Source organism: Homo sapiens, chromosome 4 (genome assembly GCF_000001405.40).
Source record: "Homo sapiens chromosome 4, GRCh38.p14 Primary Assembly".
NCBI classification, from domain to species: domain Eukaryota; kingdom Metazoa; phylum Chordata; class Mammalia; order Primates; family Hominidae; genus Homo; species Homo sapiens.
Window position 1 is genome coordinate 37,476,050 of NC_000004.12, and position 13,936 is coordinate 37,489,985.

Genomic DNA, 13,936 nt, shown 5'->3' on the forward strand with positions numbered 1-13,936 from the left:
CACAAAAACTAAAATAATGTATCTGGCTCTATTTTGATTTTGCTAAAATCACAAAAACTAAAATAATGTATCTAGCTGTATTAGGATAATATGATCAATCATTCAAGAGAAACTGGTCTCGTTCTTGCAAGTGTAAGGACCAAAAGGTAAATATATTTAGCACATGGTTTGGTTCTATTTATCATCACTAATGTTCTCATTTTCCAAATGGAAGGATAAAAATGATAACTTACCCAAAGCAGTGAAGCAGATGTGGGACTGTTTAATCTCAGCTCTTCCTTTAAATTGCTCTATAGTCACAGAAATCACTTCTCTGTTCTTTAGTCTATTAACAGATAACATCTTGCCTATTGCTGTAATCCAAAGCCATATCCCTTCAGCATCTTCATAATCATTACTAGATGCTTTAAATCCACATATTTCAAATACCTTCATTCTCCCATCTTATCTGCTCATGTTTATGCAGGCACCTAGTAGCTGTTGAAACAGGATAACACTGTGGCTAAAAGCATGTGCTTTTAGAACCCCTGGGTTCAAATCCCAGCCCTAGAACTTCTTAACCTCTGTGAGCCTCCATTTCTTTGTCTGTAAAACAGGAATAATCATTGTGCTAAAACATAGATGGGATCGTTGTTGGTTTAGAAGCTAGGAATCAAATCAGTATATACATGTGAAGAAATTTTGTATGTTAACCTCTATGAGTTCTGTATTAAAAATAATTTTTAATAAAACATGTTAAAAATAATGAATTTTTGAAAATTACCTTGCCTGCAGCAGGTACCACAGCAGGTGTACCACTTCATGACGGCCACCCACTGGGATAGCTGTAATCAGACAGATGGACAATAACAAGTGTTGGCAAGGAAGTGGAGAAACTGCAACCTTAATACACTGCTGGTGGGAATGTAATATGGTGCATCCATGTTGGGAAACAGTCTTGCAATTCCTTAAAAGTTTAAACACAGAATTACAGTATTCATCAATTCTCCTAGGTAAATATCCAAGGAAAAAAACATACGTTTATGTCACAGAAAGACTTGTACACAAATGTTTACAGCAGCATTATTCATAATATCCCAAAAGTAGAAACAACCTAAAGTTCACTGACTGATGAGTAGAAAATAATACGTGATACATCCATAGAGTAGACTATTGTTCAGCCGTAAAAAGGAACAGAGTACTGATAACATGCTACAACATGAATGAACCTTGGAAACATCATTCTAAGGGAAAGAAACCAGACACAAAAGGCTGCATATTGTATGATTCCATTTATATGCAAGGTCAAGATTAGTCATACAGAGATGGAAAGTAGATTGGTGATTGCCTAAGGCTGGGGAGAGCAAGGGGATTGGGCAAGATGGCTAAAGTTGATGGCTATGGGATATCTTTTGGCAGTGATAAAAATGTGCTAAAATTTATTGTGGTAACGGTGGCACAACTCTGAATATGCAAAAAAAATTGAAATACTTTATTTAAATGGGTGAATTATAAGGCACATGAATTGTATCTCAATATAGCTGTTAAAAATAATAATAAAGTGGCAGACTTCTAAGGAATTTCGGTAACCTTCTAAACTTAAAAGTTTTTAGACAAGAGATCAATAGACATCTGTTAATTACCCCATCACAGATATGCCAACCAATCCCTAGGCTTTGACTTCCCAGTAGCTTTTGTTTGGGAATTTACCTTGCCTACAGTAGCAGTCTTCCTGTGGGTAAAAACAAGAAACTTCAACCCTGGTCTTTGTTTAATAGTTAGGTTTTTTTCTAATTCTAAAATATGTACAGATTGGGAAAAACCCAGAAAAAATATGAGTTCAAAGCATAAATTAAAGACATAAATTATCCTGTGATCTGCGAGCAGTATCCCTCCCTGGCTCCTTTTCAGGTTGGAAAATCTGATTTTAGAACTTAGGTTTTAGAGAACCGAGTTCTTACACCAAGTACATACAAAAACTGCATCTTTACAAAATCGTCTCTAAATTGATCACTTGGACCTGAAGAGCTCATCTTTCCAAAGGCGATTTCCAGTCTTGTATGGATTGGAGAATGCCCAAATGTACTAATTTTTTTATTTTTATTTTAAAAACACCCCCCCCCACCGCCACTTACTTTGTGCTGCCATTAGTGATCTCCCCTACCCTGCCCCACAATTTACACAATGTTTTTCTTCCTATGTTACCTTTGGACCAGGTTATGGTCTTCTTTATTATTTATCTAGTTCCAATTTCCCTAGCCTAGACACAGCCCTCTGAAAATAATGGCTGATAAGGGAAATGGTGCCCGGATCTCTAGGCCCGGAGCCAGTTCACTGGGAATCATACTCTCCCAAGGCTCTTAATGTAGGTCTGACTTGATGTGACAAGTGAATATAGTAGCCTATTCTTTGTTAGAAAAAAAAATGGATTAATTATTTGGCTGAAGTCCGCCAAACAGAGGTTGGCCCTTAAAGGAACAAATACTTCCCGTTGTTTTAGATCGTCCTTCAAGCAAGGAACTAAAATAATGTAAATATAACTCAGATAAAGAGACTCTTTACGCTTCTGTTTGTTCACAGGGGAAATGCTTATTTACAATGTGCCTTTTAAAATTATTTTCCTGAGTTGGTCTTTTGGTCAAGGAAATTAAATTGATAACAAGACGTGCTGTTGTCCATAGGGAATCCATTTCTACAAAGACAAATAACTACAAGCAATCTCATCCCATTAACTCTGTGGCCACTTTCTGCCTCCCCCCTCTCAATATTTGTTACTTCTTTTATCAATGATTATTTTTTCATGGGAAGGTGTCTTCTTTTCTCAAATGGCTATAAATTTTTAAGTATGTCCCGTAAACATCTTGTCATCCCCCACAGTACCTTAAGTCAAGTCTTAAATATATCCTGATTAATTATTTGCCAATAGGCATAGGTAGCCTTTCTTCCTTCAGTATTGGCATTAGTAGTCTAATTACTTAGTCTTATGGCTTTCTCAAGTTAAAATCAGAATTACACTGTCTACAGCAAAGCAGAAAATGTCATATCTACAGAGCAGCATTTTCAGAGCACCATCAAAACATTAAACAGGCTGACTAATGGGATATGCCTGTTCATGGTACTAGTCTTTCAAGTCTTTTCTGGGTTTGAAAGTTTTCAAAATCAAAAGATTTTTAAGAAATTAAACATCTAATTTCATCTCCAGAACTTAGATGCAATATTAATATCTCTTCTATATTCAGCTTTTCAGATGGGTTCTTTATTTCAAAGGATGCTAATTTATAGCAAATAACTACATGTTCCTAAGGACCCAAAACCTTTTTTCTTTACTCTTGCTCATTTTATTTTTTTTTGTAAAATTTTTTCACATTGTGTTTCAGATAGGCCCTCCCCAAACTTTCATAAATTAATGAGTATTCCACAGACATGGAGTTTTTAGTCTAGAAGAGTTAGATTCAAGAATTAATGAAATAATCACACAAACGCAAATTTTCAGTAGGAACAAGTATAATATGAATCAATAGTAGAAAGATTTGATCCAATAAGGAAAGTAAAGGAAGATTTATCTGAGGGAGGCAGTGGGCGCTAACCAGGCAGGAGGCACAGCATGTGCAAAGGCTCGGTGGCAGGCAGCAGCAACACAGTGTGAGGTTGATTACAAGAAGACCTATGAATTTGGAGCCCAAAGAGGAAGATAGTTCAAGATGAGAGCTTGAAGGAATGGGTAGAAATTTTTTCTTCTCATCCTGGAAGCAAAGGGAATCTACTGAAAGATCTTTAAAAACAAGAAGCTGTTATAATCAGACCTAAACTTAGACAAGATTACTTCATTTGTGCTGTGGAGAACTCACTGGAAGGCATCCAATAGGCAGATCAGTCAGAAAGGTTTTGCAGTAGACTAAGCAAGAGACATAGGCAATTTGGTCATTTTGGTAGAAAGAAGTGAATTAATTCATGAAGTATTTATAAAATAAAAGTGTTAGGCAATGTTACAGTTCAAGTTTCAGTGGGGAATCAGATAGAATTGAATGATTCAAGGAATCTTTAAAAGAGAAAGTCATCAGAAATTGGCAGTGCATTAGAAATGAAAAGAGGAAAGGGAGGTCGTAAGAGTTAAAGAGGAAGGAAACACGAAACACAGCTGGCAATTAAAGACAGGTTTTCTTTAGTTAAAACCTGAGAGGAGGCCAGGTGCCGTGGCTCACGCCTGTAATCCCAGCACTTTGGGAGGCCAAGGCGGGTGGATCACTTAAGATCAGGAGTTCGAGACCAGCCTGACCAACATAGTGAAACCTCGTCTCTACTAAAAATGCAAAAATTAGCCGGGTATGCTGGCACGTGCCTGTGATCCCAGTTACCTGGGAGACTGAAGCAGGAGAATTGCTTGAACCCGGGAGGCGGAGATTGCAGTCAGCTGAGATCGCTCCGCTGCACTCCAGCCTGAGCAGAGAAGCGAGACTCCATTAAAAACAAAAAACAAACAAACAAAAAAAACTGAGAGGGGCTCCTAGCCAATGCGGTCAGGAGCACTTTCTCTTACAGACTAAGAGTATATATTTGTTTTAGGGTGAGGGGGCTTGTCACAAGCTTGGAATGTTTCTGTGTGTGGAGAAGTTCATGGCAGGGTTGGAATCTCTCTGGGTGGAGGATTATTTTGGGGCAGACATCTTTCCAGCCCAGAGGTGGGTTATCTTAGGCTAGCATCTTCCCGCCCCAAGGGGGCTTTATCTCGGGGCTAGAATGTCTCTGGGAAGGGAGGAGTTTGGAATGTTTCTGGTTGGAAATGTTATTTGTGGTTTACGGTCATGCTGACCTTAGCCATTAGGCTGATGCCTTTTGGATTTAGGCAGTTTTTTATTAAGGTGAACTTTAGAATAAGAGGCTTATCCAAGATGATGATGCTCCTGCTCTGTCAGAGGTGTCAAGGATGACACCGGGTCATATAAATCATGCTAATAATGTGCACGTCAGCACATTAAAGGCTCTGAGGAGTCCTACAGCAAAGTAACCTGGCTAGCTATCTAATCCAGCATTTCCCCAAATTATTTGAACCTAGATTACCCTTTTCTTTTTCTGGCAACAATTACTAACTTCCTCAAAATATACATGAGACAACTGAGTTAGCCTAAGATGGGCTTTTTTTATTTAAAACAATTTCAAATTTTTTCACATTTTTGTTTGAAACCCTGTGTTAGTCGGCTAGGGCCGGGTGGATCACGAGGTCAAGAGATCAAGACTATCCTGGCCAACATTGTGAAACCCTGTCTCTACTAAAAAAAAAATACAAACCTTAGCTGGACATGATGGCGTGCACCTGTAGTCCCAGCTACTTGGGAGGCTGACGCAGGAGAATCGCTTGAACCCAGGAGGTGGAGGCTGCAGTGAGCCAAGATCGCACCACTGCACTCCAGCCTAGGCAACAGAGCAAGACCTGTCTCCAAAAAAAAAAAAAAAAAAAAAAAAAAAAAAAAAAAAGAAGTCCAAGATCAAGGTATCAGCAGGTTTGGATTCTCCTGAGGCCTCTCTCCTTGGCTTGCAGATGGCCACCCTTTTGCCGACTCTTCACATGGTTATCCCTCATACTGTGTGTTGTCTGCATGTTCTAATCTCCTCTTTTTATAAAGACATCAGGTTGGTTTAAGACCTATCCTAATGGCTTTGTTTTACTTTCATTTCCTCTTTGAAGGCTCTATCCTCAAATACATTTACTTTCTAAGGAGCTGCAGATTAGGGCTGTGATATGGTTTGGCTGTGTCGCCACCCAAATGTCATCTTGAATTGTAGTTCCCATAATCCCCACGTGTCATGGAAAGGACCCGGTGGCAGGTAATTTAATCATGGGGGCAGTTTCCCTTATGCTATTCTCATAATAGTGAGTAAGTTCTCATGAGATCTGATGGTTTTATAAGGGGTTTCCCCCTTTGCTTGGCTCTCATTCGCCTTCCTTCTGCCATGTGAGGAAGGAAATGTTTACTTTCCTTTCTGCCATGATTGTAAGTTTCTGGAGGCTTCCCCAGCCAAGCTGAACTGTGAGTCCATTAAATCTCTTTCTCTTTGTAAATTACCCATCTTTGGTATGTCTTTATTAGCAGTGTTAGAATAAACTAATACAGCAAATTGATACGGGGTAGTGAGGTACTGCTGTAAAGATACTAAAAAATGTGGAAGCAACTTTGGAACTGGGTAACAGGCAGACGTTGGAACAGTTTGGAGGGCTCAGGAGAAGACAGAAAAATGTGGGAAAGTTGGGAACTTCCTAGAGATTTGTTGAATGGCTTTGGTCAAAATGCTGTTAATGATATGGATAATAAAGTCCAGGCCGAGGTGGTTTCCAATGGAGATGAAGAACTTGTTGGGAACTGGAGTAAAGGTCACTCTTGCTATGCAAAGAGACTGGTTGCATTTTGCCCCTGCCCTGGAGACCTGTGGAACTTTGAACTTGAAAGAGATAATTTAGAGTATCTGGCAGAAGAAAATTCTAAGCAGGAAAGCATTCAAGAGAAAGCAGAGCATAAAAGTTTGGAAAATTTGCAGCCTGGTGATGCAATAGAAAAGAAAACCCTTTTTCTGGGGAGAAAGTCAAGCCAGCTGCAGAAATTTGCATAAATAATAAGGAGCCAAATGTTAATCACCAAGACAATGAGGACAATGTCTGCAGGCCATGTCAGAGACCTTAATGGCAGCCCCTCCCATCATAGGCCTGAAGGTGTAGGAGGGAAAATTGTTTTCATGGGCTGGACCTGGGCCCAGGCTCACCTGCTCTGTGCAGCCTCAGGACATGGTGCCCTGTATCTCAGCTGCTTAGTTCCAGCCATGGCTAAAAGGGGCCAACATACAGCTTAGACTGTTGCTTCAGCTGGAATGAGTTAAGACTTTGAGGGACTATTGGAAAGGCATGATTGTGTTTTGAAATGTGAGGACATGAGATTTGGGAGGGGCCAGGGGAAGAATGATATGGTTTGGCTGTGTCCCCACCCAAATCTCATCCCGAATTGTAGTTCCCATAATCCCCATGTGTCATGGGAGGGGCCCAGTGGGAGATAATTGAATCATGGGGGCAGTTTCCCCATGCTATTCTTGTGATAGTGAGTAAGTTCTTATGAGATCTGTTGGTTTTATAAAGGGCTTCCCCCTTCACTTGGCTCTCATTCTTCTTCCTGACACCATGTGAAGAAGGACAAGTTTGCTTCCCCTTCTTTCATGATTGTAAGTTTCCCAAGGCCTTCCCAGACAGGCTGAACTGTGAGTCAATTAAACCTCTTTTCTTTATAAATTACCCAGTCTCGGATATGTCTTTATTAGCAGCGTGACAATGGACTAATAAAGGCTGCAACATATGAATTTTGTGGGGACATCATTTAGCCCATCACCACCCTAGAGGCATAAACCTCTTTTCTAGAGCCAGTGCCATCTTTGTTCCTCCACACCCTACACCACAGGCAAGGTCTGGTGGTCCAGTGTCATGAAGAGTCATCTTATGTCTCCATCCTCAGCACTCTTCATGGTGAGTCCCAATACATGCTACGGCAAGATTTCTATTACTTAGATTCGCTATTAGTAAACCTGTAACATACCAACAAGGATAAGGAAAAAGGAGCCAACAGTATTCCTGATCACCCCTATACGCAGATATCAAAGATGGAGGTGTTAGTGGAAGAGAGGCAGTGCTTCTGGATTTTTTTTCCTAATGATATGAAACCAGCATTTCACCTTGAAGCAGAAGAGCACCTAAGTCCAGGTGAACACCACTCTGCTCTGCTTCCCTGTGCCAGCAGTCCAGAAGTCCAGCATCCACAGAGCCAGGTCTCATCTATGTGGGCTGGGAGGTGAGCAGTTTGTGAGATGCATGGGAACTAAAGTTCAAATTCTTACACCACCCTCCACTCAGAATGTAAGTCATTTGACTTTTCTCTGTTTCTTTTCCTGGGAGGATGGCTGAGAGGATTATGTTCATGGATCATTCTGCTTTTAAAAACAAAACTGAAACACTCTTCCCACATAAAAGTAAGATCTTCACTCATCCCATTACCAGCTGACTAGTAAAGTAATGGTATGGTCTGAATGTCTGTGTCTGCCCGAAATTTATATGTTGAAATCCTAACCCACAAGATGATGGTATTGGGAGTGTATTAGTTCATTTACATGCTGCTGATAAAGATATACTTGAGACTGGGTAATTTATAAAGAAAAAGAGGTTTAATGGACTCACCGTTCCACATGGCTGTGGTTCCACAATCACGACAGAAGGTGAAAGGCACATCTTACATGGCAGCAAAGAGAGAGAATGAGAACCAAGCAAAAAGGGAAACCCCTTATAAAACCATCAGATCTCATGAGACTTATTCACTACCACGAGAACAGTATTGGGGAAACCATCCCCATGATTCAATTACCTCCCACGGGGTTCCTCCCACAACACATGGGAATTATGGGAGCTACAATTCAAGATGAGATTTGGGTGAGGACACAGCCAAACCATATCAAGGAGATAGGGCCTTTGTGGGGAGCATATCATGATATGCCAGCTCCCCTTTGCCTTCCCTTATGATTATCAGCTTCCTGAGGCCCTCCCCAGAAGCAGATGCTGGAACCATGCTTCTAACAGCCTGCGGAACTGTGAGCTAATTACATCTCTTTTCTGTATAAATTACCAAGACTCCAGTATTTCTTTATAGCAATGAAAAAATGGCCTCATAAAAGAGACCTCAGAGAGTTAGCTAGCCCCTTCCACCATGTGAGGACACAATGAGAAGGCACCATCTGTAAACCAGAGAGTAAGAGCTCACCAGACATCAGATCTGCTGATACTTTGATCTTGGACTTCCCAACCTCCATAACTGTGAGGAATAAATTTGTCTTGTTCATCAGCCACCCAGTTTATGGTATTTTGTTAAAGTAGCCTGAACAGATTAAGAAAAGTGGTTAGAGAGTCAAAACAGTATGGATGTGTTATATCCACAACTCATAAATTCAATCTAAGAAGTGAATATTTTATTTATTATGTTGCATGCTATTTTATATTCTGTATTCTCCACTAGCCCCAAAGTGATTGGAACTTTGACTTCAGGTTTCCTATGTTTCTAGTTTCAGCTAGTCTTTTAAATATCATCACATGATCTTTATTGGAGTTAAGTCCCAAATGAATAACAAACCAATGAAAACTTCCTGCTTGTTTTCTGATCAGGTATTGTTTATGTTAAGGAAGGTGCTATGGTTTGCATGTGTCCCCCAAAGTTCATGAGTTAGACACTTAATCCCCAGAGCCACAGTGTTGAGAGGTGGGGCCTTTAGGAAGTCATTAGGTCATGAAAGCTCTGCCCTCATGAATGAATTAATGCCATTATCTTGGGAGTGGGTTCGTTATCTTGGGATTTCTGATAAAGGGATGAGTTTGGCTCCCTTCCCTTCTCTGTCACAGGTGCTCTCTTGCCCTTCCACCTTCCCCCATGGAATGACACAGCAAGAAGGCCCTCATCAGATGGGGGCCCCTTGACCTTGACTTCCCAGCCTCCAGAACTTTAAGAAATAAATCTCTGGTCTTTATAAATGACCCAGTCTCAGGTATTCTGTTGTAGCAGCACAAACAAAGACAGGAAGAGCCAGAATTTTTTTTTTTCCTCTTAAATCCTATTAAGCCTCAGAATCTGCATACTGCTTTTTGGAACCTGAATACCACCAATTGAGTCATTTTATGAAATGTGTCCACTGTCTTATTCTAACATAATGGTCAAAAGATGTTTAGTTTGCATGTCAGTCAGCTACTTCCCAAGAAGATATTGTTTGACCTGGCTTTTCTACAAGCTCACTGTCCTGTCCTAATAGCAGGACAGGGATCCATGAAAATAGAAGGAACTGAGCAGATTTCCCTGAACTTGGTAGGCATGGGTTATTACAGCTAGTCTAGCTCTGGCAGGTTCCCCCTGTACATAGCCAGTAGTTAAGCACCGTATCATGAATCAGGTTTGAATTATCGCCTCTATTCATAGCACAGAATAAGTTAATTTGAGACGGATATGTCTTTGTTCAAGGTAGACTTATTGCCTTATTTTTTCCTAGTAGATATTTACTAAACTCATATGTTCTTTCTAGTGCTGCCACGTCTATACCATTGCTCCTGAAATCTTAGTTCAAATCCAACTTCTGCCACTTTAGCACCTTGTCATTTTATCCATCTAAGCTGAAATTCAAAGCCTCTAACTCCTACTCTTAGGTGAAGATTTTTTTTTCCCTGATCTCTTCTCACATGTGAGACTTTGTGGGTATCAGGAGCCATGGGGACTAGGCAGCCTGGTAATTACATTGTTTACTTCCTAGTTTCACACAAAACCAAGTCAATCCTGGGCCTGCCACCAAGCACCCTTTAGGGAAATATATTTCAAAAAGCTTCACTGAAACCACTTATTTATTGACATTCAGAGACAGTTAATCATTCTGCCGAGCAAGAAACACTTAGACCAAACAAGAAACAGCCCAACCTTTCAAGCACCGAGCCTTTGTCAAAGGTTTATTGAGAAAAGAAAGGCACAAAAGAACCAGCGTTGCCAAACTCGGGCAGCCATTGTCAACCCTTTGCCAAGTGATAGTATCATATGGCATCAGACATGAGCTTAAGAAAGAGAAAAAAGGAGGAAGGAATAAGCTTTCTTTCCATATATAAATCAGATTGAAGTTACTGTTCCTTTTTGGGACTTTCAGTGTTTATCCTCTTTCTGGAATATATTTTCCTTCTTCTTGCTTCAGCTCACCATCCCCAAAACATACACATGCACACACATGCACATTGTCCCATACCTTCATAATATATTTGAATGATACAGTCTGCTAAAATTACTGTCACAGACATTATCTTCATCTTGGACACCTGTTTGTTCTAGTTCCTGGCTGCCTGGAAGTTCTGAAAACGTGACTCAGCCTAGAGCTTTTTGTTAAACCATAAGGAAAGCTACTAATTTCTCTACACAGAGATAGCATGTATAAAGTAATCACCACTGTGATCCAGAAATGGTGATGTCTACACTGGGAGTGATTGATGGTGGTTATTACTGGGGTGGAGATGGTACGAGTGACATCTTAAGATACATTTATTAAAATGGGCCAAGAACCACATGAAATGCTTTGCTTGTTTTGAAGTAGGTTTCTTTGCCCAAAGGTTAAGGAAATATTTCAAAAAGGCAAAAAGAGATTGACCCCCACACACTCTCTTATTTTCTGTATGAACATTTTCAAGCTACAGAAAAGTTGAAAGAATTGTACATGAACTACACTCACCACCTGAAATCTACAACTAAAATTTTTCATATTTGCCTGATCACATATGTAACCATCTAACCATCCCTCTATCAAGTAATGTATCTTTTTATTTAACTGTATTTCAGAGCAAGTTGCAAACATCAGTTCATTTCACCCCAGCACTTCAATATGCATTGCATTAACTGTAAGTTTTTTTTATGGTTATCTTCTTTCCCTTCTTCATCCTACCCTGGTATAATTTACATACAGTGAAATATACAAATTTAAGTGTATTATTTGGGAGTTTTAACTGTATAACTCAAATTTCCATCAAGATATATAGAAAACATTATCATTACCCAGGAAAACCCTCTTGCTGTTTCCAATCAATCCTTGTCCCCAGCCCCATGGAGTCAATGACTGTTCTAATTTTTAAAAATCACCACAGATTAATTTAGCCTGTTCAAAACTTCATATTCATGAATCATACATTTATATCACACATTTGTATGATTACATATATACATATGTCCTCCTTTGTGTAAGGCTTCTTTTACTCAGCCTGGTTTTGTGTTTTGTTGATGTTGCATGTTTCTTTTTCTTTTTTATTGCTCAGTAGTATAATATTTTATTGCTCATTCTTTTTTATTGCTTAGTAGTATTTCATTGTATGACTACACCACAGTGTTTTTTACTATTGTTGGACATTTGGATTATTTCAGTTTGGGGCTATTATGAATAAAGCTAATATCAAGACTCCTGTACCAGTCTTTATGTGCACTTTTGTGTAAATATCTAGGAGTGGAAAATTGCTAGGTCATAGAGTTGTTCCATAGCCTTCACATCCAGGCCCTGTTGGGCTTAAATTTTCTTGGAAGAGCAATTTCCAAATCCTTTCAAGTCCAGAATATTTTTTTCACACAGCAATAGTAAAATAAGACAATAATAGTTAATTTTTAGGTCCAAAATGTATTTATTTTCCATATGCTTAAAGGCAGTGTATTTCCTAAAAGACTAGTTTCAAACCAGTGTATTAAGACACATTGGCATATGAATTAGTGGGAGAATCAAGATTTGGAACATTGTAGGCAACTCGAGCTTGTCACATGATAGCTGGTGGCCCCACAGTCATGCCATGTGATAAATCCATGTAGGCAACAACAACAAAAAAACCCAAACGGCCTGCATTCTGCCTCTTGACATCCACAAAGCACTTGGATATTGGAACACTGCTAACAAAAACCTGTGGGTCTACATAGGCTTGCCAACAGAAGCAGCAGAAGTAGCCAGAGTATAACCTCTGCCTTACTTCCTTCTACCTTTCTCTTCTTGCATTCTACTGTCTGAATCTAAGTCAGTGTGGGAACTCTCCTGCCAGAGCACCTGGGAAATCTGGATGAAGATACCAGCATCAGTCTACCTTATTCCTCACCTATCTCCCCTCCCATGCTCACAAATCCTGTTCCATCACCTCTGGCCTGCTGATAGACCTTCTTCAAGTGATTATCTCCCCGCTTTCCTCCGTCTTTAACCTCTACCTTTTCTTCCATCTCCTATCAACATAACCTAACAACTTGACTCTTCCAGTGTAAACCTCCCTTAGTCCTCCAGTTGACCCTTGAACAACACAGGTTCAAATGCATGGGTCCACTTATAAGTGGGTTTTTTTCAACCAAACCCATTTAAAAAACACAGTGTTACTAGGATGTGAAACCCACGTATATACCAAAGGCCAGCTTCTCCTAAGCGGTTTCCTAAGTGGTTCCTCAGGCCACCTGTGATAATTGAGTATGCATGGATTTTGGTATACGCAGAGGTCCTGGAAGATTGCCGGGGCTTAGGGGAAGAAGGAAATGGGGATTGCTGTTCAATGGGTATAAAGTTTCAATTATGCAAGATGAATAAGTTCTAGAAATCTGCTGTATAATATGATGTCTGTAGTTAACAATACTGTATTGTGCACTTAAAATTTAAGAATGTAGATCTCCTGTTAAGTGCTCTTACTACAAGGAAATAAAAGTCATGTATAAGAAATTCTATAATTTTTCATACACTAAATTCTTATGTATGCTATGGTCTCATTTTGGGGGAAGGAGAGAAAGATTTGCTCTATATCATTGTTATGTCTCTGTTTTTTTGCCCTAGCTTTTGGGGAGATTTTAGCCATAGATAGCTTACCACCCTAAAATAGCACATTCCTAGGATGATAGTCTTCTTAATTAATTTTTCAAATGTGAATTACACATACAATAATATAACATTCCACTTCATATAGTCATTTAATTATAAAAGTTTTAGCATAAACACAAAAATTAGAAAAATAAGGTTACATTTTTGGGTGAGAGAATTGTGGGTGACTCTGAGGTATGGTTCTGCAACTTATGTAAGGAGCACACCAATGTATTTTTCTGTCTTTAATGCAAAAAGTATTTATTGAGCACCTTCTCTGTGTGCCAGTTGTTGTTGAAGACCTGGGATGACAAAAAATAAATAAGTTTCCCTAAACCAATGATTAGACTCCTTGACTTGACACTAGCAGGGTTTTTCCAGCACAGATAAATCTGGCAAGCAAAGGAAAGCTTTAGTGTCAGATCCAAAATGTTAGTGCAAATGAATGTAACCTGAGATTGTCCTAAATGGGATTGCTGTAGCCAACGCATAATATGTTCTTTGACCTTCTGAGATTGACTGAACCAAATTTGTCATGAGAAATTGTCTCCTCTTAGATCTC

General features: G+C 39.5%; 1 protein-coding gene across 4 annotated transcripts in view; it reads left to right on the top strand.

The window, feature by feature from the left end:
* PGCKA1 (PDCD10 and GCKIII kinases associated 1) overlaps nucleotides 1–13,936 on the top strand; it is a 140,256-nt gene that overhangs the window by 22,795 nt on the left and 103,525 nt on the right. Inside the window, exon 2 of one of the 4 annotated variants that reach the window (XM_011513712.3) lies at nucleotides 11,352–11,410. The exons of 2 other annotated variants lie outside the window; for them this stretch is intronic. The gene's annotated coding sequence lies outside the window, so the exon portion shown is untranslated. Of the gene's footprint in view, nucleotides 1–9,485; nucleotides 11,411–13,936 lie in introns of those variants that run through there. One more of the 4 variants, XM_047415896.1, reaches the window with a different exon arrangement.